The sequence below is a fragment of the Homo sapiens genome, chromosome X (genome assembly GCF_000001405.40).
Source record: "Homo sapiens chromosome X, GRCh38.p14 Primary Assembly".
NCBI classification, from domain to species: Eukaryota; Metazoa; Chordata; class Mammalia; order Primates; family Hominidae; genus Homo; species Homo sapiens.
The window spans coordinates 105,791,169-105,799,322 of NC_000023.11; the positions used below are offsets into that span (position 1 = coordinate 105,791,169).

Genomic DNA, 8,154 nt, shown 5'->3' on the forward strand with positions numbered 1-8,154 from the left:
ATGAATGTATACATTGCTGAGAAATAGGGCCATTTTAAAGTTGACAAACTATAAAACAAAATAAATACAATAATACAATAGTATTTTAAGGACTGCACTAGGTGAGAACTTACAGGTTCAATATTATTCAGGGTTTGAGAGAGAAGAGAGATGTGAGAGAGACAGAGAGAAAGAGAGAGAGAGAGATTTTTCCCAATAACACAGATTTTTCACCTCCTGTCCCTGACAACTCATTTTTTGGCACCTGCAGAGAAAGAGCAGAAGGAGTATCTAGAAGTAAGGAACTATGAGTGGGCAGATTAAAGATCAGAGACCAGTCTGAATGCCATCAAACATATAAGCACTGCTCCTTCAACTTGACTCTTCTCAACCTATACTCACCCAAACCCTTTCAAGTACTGATCTCCCTATCACTGGGCATAGGTAACTGAAAGAAAAATATGGCATGAGTTTCTAGATAAAAATACAAAACAATAATGATAATATTTATTCCAAAGAAGTCCAAGATACTAAATCAAGAATGAATGAATCAGGCTTTGAAAATTAAGGGAAACTTCTTTGCCCAAGAGGACCAGGGTATTAACCAGAATGTAGAAAACACATAGCACCCATTTACATAAATGTGCTTATCCTTAAATGGATGTTCTCATTGACAAACCTAAGTCTCTTATTTCACTTCCCAAGGCCAGCTAGCTAGCCATGTGTAGGTATCCATATACAATGGGGGTTATCACGACCCATAATTTCCTCATAAAATTGCTGTCACCACACTGCTAACAGCCAAGTGACCAAATAGTTCATATAGAAAGTGATATTGGTGGCAAAATGCAAACAGCCAAATAAAAATGAAAAAAGTTAAAAGCTCTCAATTTAAGATGTAAATAAAAACTAATAGGGTGACTTTTTTTTTTCTATCAGAATGTCTTCAGAAAACGTTTAGACACCATTGTGATATATTCAATTTATATGTTTTAGAGAAAAACAAAAGACATATGATTAGGGAGCAGTTTCACTGCAACTTGGTTTATCCTGATCCCATATAGTACATATATTATATAATAATAGACTTGGCTCTTCAATGTCAGTGAAAGTTCATAACATGGACACCAGAAGACAAACAGCTATATGTCAAAGTGAAATTGCATTAAATGAACCTGAAAGTTCTTTTTATCCTTTAGAAATCAATAAAATGTAGTATTTGTCTTAATGAGCTTGAGGGATTTCTTGTTATGGCAAAATCGTTTGCTTTGAAGACACTTTAAAAATATTTAGGCTAGATGTGGTGGCTCATGCCTGTAATCCCAGCACTTTGGGAGGCTGAGGCAAGCGGATCACTTGAGGTCAGGAGTTCAAGACCAGCCTGGCCAACATGGTGGAAGCCTGCCTCTACTAAAAATACAAAAATTAGCCAGGCGTGGTGGTGGGCACCTGTAATCCCAGCTACTCGGGAGGCTGAAGCAGGAGGATTGCTTGAACCTGGGAGGCGGGAGGTTGCAGTGAGCTGCTATCATGCCACTGCACTCCAGCCTGGGCAATAGAGTGAGACTCCATCTCAAAAAAATTATATAATATTACCTAATTTTTAAATTTGAATTTATAAATTTAAAATATTTAAATACTATTTGAAGAATTTTAGCCCAAAACAGAAAAGTTCAATAGTTGAGGTCCTCATTTGCATAGTTTAAATTGAATTCCAAGCTGAGGGCATAGATCCAAGGAAGCCAAACCCTAGTACAATAAGCCTTAAAAAAATTGTTTGTTAGACAACCTTGTGCAAAAAATATATATATTGTTGAAATTTGTCCCAAAGGGAAATGCACTGTGTGAGTGTATGTTTGTAAAGGTAATCAGAAAACCTCCAATGAACAGCGTTACTTGAGAAATAATGTCATGATGTTGTGGGACAGGCTTTGAGCATGGAGGCTAATCTGGTGAGGAAAAGGTATATATACATTCTTAACCAATTACTTAAGCAAGTAGAATCCACAAAACAAGAAAAGTAGACTTGAGTACAATTTTGGATTCTGCCACACCACTGAGCAATATTTATTCACTTGCAAATGGTGCTAATAAATCAAAAGTTATTATCAAGTTGTATGCAGATTTAAATATCATGAGACATGTGCTAGTAATTGTCTGGGGAAGAATATTGTTCTCCTTTTTCCTAAAAGGGAAGATTTAGCAATTGAACCAGCCAGTATTATTCATGAATAGTATTTAAAAATCATATTTACACGCATTCAGTAATGATATAAACTGAGAGACATTGGGCTTGGAAAAGCTGTTCTTTATCATTATGAACAGTGAGTGGAATACGCAGTCTAATTTGTGGTGTCTTTACAGGGATATCATGAAGATACCATCTGTCTCCTTCCCACTTGCCCATTACCCCCACAAAATCTCCCTCATCCAGCTTGCTGATACTTAAATTTCCCAGTTATTACTTTATCTTTTTTGTCTTATGGCACTATAGTAATTGGTTAAGAATACAGGCTTGGGAGTCAGTGAAACTTGTGTTCCACTCATATTTGTACCACTAATCAACTAGGTGGCCTTGGGGAAAATTACTGACTGTCTCTGGGCCAATTTTTCTAAAAATTTATAAAATGAGAGTGATATTATATCTTAGTACATTTTGTATTGCTATAACAGAGTATCTGAGACTGGGTAATTTATAAAGAAAATAGGTTTGTTTAGCTCACAGCACTGGAGGCTGGGAAGTTCAAGAAGCATAGCAGAGAAGCAGAAGGGAAAGGAGACGTGCAAAGAGACCAAACCTCACTTTACAACAACTTGCTCTCTCAGAAACTAATCCAGACTCCAGAGAAAGACATTAATCCATTCTAATGAGCTAATTACCTCTTAAAGGCACCACTTCCCACCACCACCACATTGGGGAGCAATCCTCCACATGAATTTTGGTAGGGACAAACCATATTCTAATTGTAGCATACTAATAATAATACCACCTTACTGGATTATCAAAATTAAATGAGATAATGTAGGTAGCACAGTGCCAGGAATAGACTAAGTTCACTATATCATTGGCCTTTGAACAATGCAGGGGTATTATATACAGTATTCTTACAATACAGTAAGCTAGAGCAAAGAAAATGTTATTAAGGAAATCACAGTGAAGAGAAAATATATTAACTAGTCATTAGGTGGAAGTAGATCATCATAGAGGTCTTCCTCCTCCTCATCATCACATTGAGTAGGCTGAGGGGGAGGAGGAAGAGGAGGGATTGGTCTTGCTGTCTCAGGGGTTGCAGAGATGGAAGAGGTGGAAGAGGTGGAAGAGGAGGCAGGAGAGGCAGACTCAGTAGGTATAATTTTTACTGAAACAAATCCGCATGTAAATAAACTCATGCAGTTCAAACTAGTGTTTAAGGGTCAATTTTATATGTTAGCTATTAGTATTATTAAAATTTAATCACACCCATGGATAGCAAACATATCATATTTAGCTTTATCAGTCATTTTCTGATGAGTTTAGCAGTTCCTTTCCTCAGGGTAGTTCTTGAGGAGGTAAAAATGCATAGAAGACCCTACGATATTGAGGAGATTATATTTGATGAGGGGAGCACCTCCAGTCTAGGTGAAGGGAGGAATGCATGAAGAACAACAAAGAACCTAAGATATCTCCTTAACCACACATGTCTGCCATGCTAAGGCCCAGCCCTTCCCTCTTTTCTCAGATATTTGTTAGCTGCTTAGGCAAATCAGGTTTATGAGAATCAGTTAACTGGATGGAACTGCAAAACTTCTGTCCTCATGATGAAAGTGTTCAAATATACATCTAAAAAAAGAAGGAATGTATTGAAAGCTACATTTAAAAAAGGAAATCAGAGGTGAGCATTTTACATCTCACAGTAGGTTAAAATATCTCTCCTGATGAGACGCTCAGGTGACCTCTGGCTTCCATGACATTTTCTTTGGCAAAAGGGAAATGCAAGCAGTATTCCATGTCTTATTCCATTTGCCTTGCATTTGAGGGGTGACCTTATTTTACTGCCTCTCTTTGGTCCCAGAGAAGCTGGATGTGGACTGAAGTAATATTATCATCCAGATGAATAACTAGTATTTCCTTCAAGCTGACTTCAGGGCAGAACCACTTTGTAAACATCTGACTGGTCCAGTCATAATTCTTAAACTTGAAAATCAGATCAACCCCTCAAAATCATCACGTGCTGAATGTGGATATCCATAATTGACAAGCCATGTGACTTGAGCAAGTTGCTTAAGCTCCCTAGGCTTTAATTTCTTCATATATAAAGTGGGTTAGTAACTAATTGAAGATTAAGTGACACAATGGTCCCAAAGCTGTTAGTATAGTATTTCCTCACTAATGGTAGCAATTAGTATTCTTGACGAGTAGCATCATGGTATAATGATAAGAACATGGATTTCAGAGGCAAAAACTTCAATTTTTAATCCCAGTCTCTTATGTTACCTTGAGCAACTTATTTAACCTTCTTGAATCACAGTCTATCCATCCACAAAACAAAAATAATAACATAGAATAAAATGACATGAAATGATATGTGTAAAGGGTCTGGTTCAGAGAAAACGTTCAATAAATGCCAGTTCCCTTCCCTTCTGCATTTAACCAGCTGCTCTTTAATGTCTAAGGAGGATTATTCCTTTAATCAAAAAATTGTCATTTAGAGAAGTTTCTCTCCACCCAAATAAAACATTTGTGTTTAGAATCTGGCAAACTGAAGTACAATTAGCAGACAGTATTCTCAGATAAATGTCCCCTTTTCATTGTGACTTTATATGGCTACCTTATATAGGGGCAGTCCCCTTTATTATTATTCTCTTTCTCAAAGCCTTTTTATAATTTTTCTGGCACTTGTCAAAAGAAATACTTATTTTTTTTGTTTATTTGGCGAATAATTGGTGCTCCATATATCATATATATTCCTTGAATAAATGAATCCTACTTCTTTCCCAGCAAATAAAATGTCATCTGTGACCTTTTTCTATTTGTCTTTGTACATCTGTGCCTAGACATATTGCAGAGAGTGGCCTTATTTTGCATGCTGAAATAATAACTTTCCCTGATTCCCCAATTACTTGTATTTACCTTTGGAAACATTTTCCAGGGTGACGGACACTTTGGACCCACCATGACTAGAAAGACATAGGCTTTGAACTTATTTTAAGGTAGTACTGAGAAGTTTGTATTGAACTATTTACATACACTCTTTTTGCCCATCTTATGATAACAGGCATATTTACACCACAGAGTTGATGATGGTTAGTACTGAAGCCTACAATTCTGGAACACAACAAAGCTAAAAGAACCACATGGAAACTACACCCATAATTTTGATCTTATTAACCACCACCCCCTCCACCACACACACATTTATTCAGATGCTAGATTATATAGAGCATATATATATAGTATATGCTATATACTCTAAAAAGCCAAACCCACGGGTACTAAGAGATAGCTTTGCCATTTTCCTCGCCAAAGGGAAATTCTGGCTCAATTCCTGATCTTAAAGTATAGACTAGCTTGAAGGACGGCTCATCCCATCAGCAACCAGCAGGTGTGGAAGATGAGACAGTCCCATTCTTAAGTAGTTATCTGGCTTCCCAGAGATTCTTCTGACAAAGAAAAAAATCTGGAAAACATCCACTGTTTTTCTCTCATCCAAACCTTTAGAAAACCCATGATTTTATAGTATTTTGGTGATCTGTAAATACTTTTGAAAAGACTAATTACCGGGGGAAGAGCCAAGATGGCCGAATAGGAACAGCTCCGGTCTACGGCTCCCAGCGTGAGCGACGCAGAAGACGGGTGATTTCTGCATTTCCATCTGAGGTACCGGGTTCGTCTCACTAGGGAGTGCCAGACAGTGGGCGCAGGTCAGTGGGTGCGCGCACCGTGCGTGAGCCAAAGCAGGGCGAGGCATTGCCTCACTTGTGAAGCACAAGGGGTCAGGGAGTTCCCTTTCCGAGTCAAAGAAAGGGGTGACGAGCGGCACCTGGAAAATCGGATCACTCCCACCCGAATACTGCGCTTTTCCGACGGGCTTAAAAAACGGTGCACCACGAGATTATATCCTGCACCTGGCTCAGAGGGTCCTACACCCACGGAGTCTCGCTGATTGCTAGCACAGCAGTCTGAGATCAAACTGCAAGGCGGCAGCCAGGCTTGGGGAGGGGCGCCCGCCATTGCCCAGGCTTGATTAGGTAAACAAAGCAGCCTGGAAGCTCGAACTGGGTGGAGCCCACCACAGCTCAAGGAGGCCTGCCTGCCTCTGTAGGCTCCACCTCTGGGGGCAGGGCACAGACAAACAAAAAGACAGCAGTAACCTCTGCAGACTTAAATGTCCCTGTCTGACAGCTTTGAAGAGAGCAGTGGTTCTCCCAGCACGCAGCTGGAGATCTGAGAACGGGCAGACTGCCTCTTCAAGTGGGTCCCTGACCCCTGACCCCTGAGCAGCCTAACTGGGAGGCACCCCCCAGCAGGGGCACACTGACACCTCACACTGCAGGGTATTCCAACAGACCTGCAGCTGAGGGTCCTGTCTGTTAGAAGGAAAACTAACAAACAGAAAGGACATCCACACCGAAAACCCATCTGTACATCACCATCATCAAAGACCAAAAGTAGATAAAACCACAAAGATGGGGAAAAAACAGAACAGAAAAACTGGAAACTCTAAAAAGCAGAGCACCTCTCCTCCTCCAAAGGAACGCAGTTCCTCACCAGCAACAGAACAAAACTGGATGGAGAATGACTTTGACGAGCTGAGAGAAGAAGGCTTCAGACGATCAAATTACTCTGAGCTACGGGAGGACATTCAAACCAAAGGCAAAGAAGTTGAAAACTTTAAAAAAAATTTAGAAGAATGTATAACTAGAATAACCAATACAGAGAAGTGCTTAAAGGAGCTGATGGAGCTGAAAACCAAGGCTCGAGAACTACGTGAAGAATGCAGAAGCCTCAGGAGCCAATGCGATCAACTGGAAGAAAGGGTATCAGCAATGGAAGATGAAATGAAAGAAATGAAGTGAGAAGGGAAGTTTAGAGAAAAAAGAATAAAAAGAAATGAGCAAAGCCTCCAAGAAATATGGGACTATGTGAAAAGACCAAATCTACGTCTGATTGGTGTACCTGAAAGTGACGGGGAGAATGGAACCAAGTTGGAAAACACTCTGCAGGATATTATCCAGGAGAACTTCCCCAATCTAGCAAGGCAGGCCAACATTCAGATTCAGGAAATACAGAGAACGCCACAAAGATACTCCTCGAGGAGAGCAACTCCAAGACACATAATTGTCAGATTCACCAAAGTTGAAATGAAGGAAAAAATGTTAAGGGCAGCCAGAGAGAAAGGTCGGGTTACCCTCAAAGGAAAGCCCATCAGACTAACAGCGGATCTCTCGGCAGAAACCCTACAAGCCAGAAGAGAGAGGGGGCCAATATTCAACATTCTTAAAGAAAAGAATTTTCAACCCAGAATTTCATATCCAGCCAAACTAAGCTTCATAAGCGAAGGAGAAATAAAATCCTTTACAGACAAGTAAATGCTGAGAGATTTTATCACCACCAGGCCTGCCCTAAAAGAGCTCCTGAAGGAAGCGCTAAACATGGAAAGAAATGACCGGTACCAGCCACTGCAAAATCATGCCAAAATGTAAAGACCATCCAGACTAGGAAGAAACTGCCTCAACTAACGAGCGAAATAACCAGCTAACATCATAATGACAGGATCAAATTCACACACAACAATATTAACTTTAAATGTAAATGGGCTAAATGCTCCAATTAAAAGACACAGACTGGCAAGTTGGATAAAGAGTCAAGACCCATCAGTGTGCTGTATTCAGGAAACCCATCTCACGTGCAGAGACACACATAGGCTCAAAATAAAAGGATGGAGGAAGTACTACCAAGCAAATGGAAAACAAAAAAAGGCAGGGGTTGCAATCCTAGTCTCTGATAAAACAGACTTTAAACCAACAAAGATCAAAAGAGACAAAGAAGGCCATTACATGATGGTAAAGGGATCAATTCAACAAGAAGAGCTAACTATCCTAAATATATATGCACCCAATACAGGAGCACCAAGATTCATAAAGCAAGTCCTGAGTGACCTACAAAGAGACTTAGACTCCCACACATTAATAATG

At 39.7% G+C, this 8,154-nt stretch overlaps 1 long non-coding RNA gene across 1 annotated transcript in view; it reads right to left on the reverse strand.

The window, feature by feature from the left end:
• LOC105373303 (uncharacterized) overlaps positions 1-6,184 on the reverse strand; it is a 135,721-nt gene extending 129,537 nt beyond the window's left edge. The window contains exon 1 of the long non-coding RNA XR_007068300.1: positions 5,738-6,184. This is a non-coding gene — a long non-coding RNA (uncharacterized LOC105373303). The remainder of the gene's footprint in view (positions 1-5,737) is intronic.
• Positions 6,185-8,154: the final 1,970 nt, after the last annotated feature.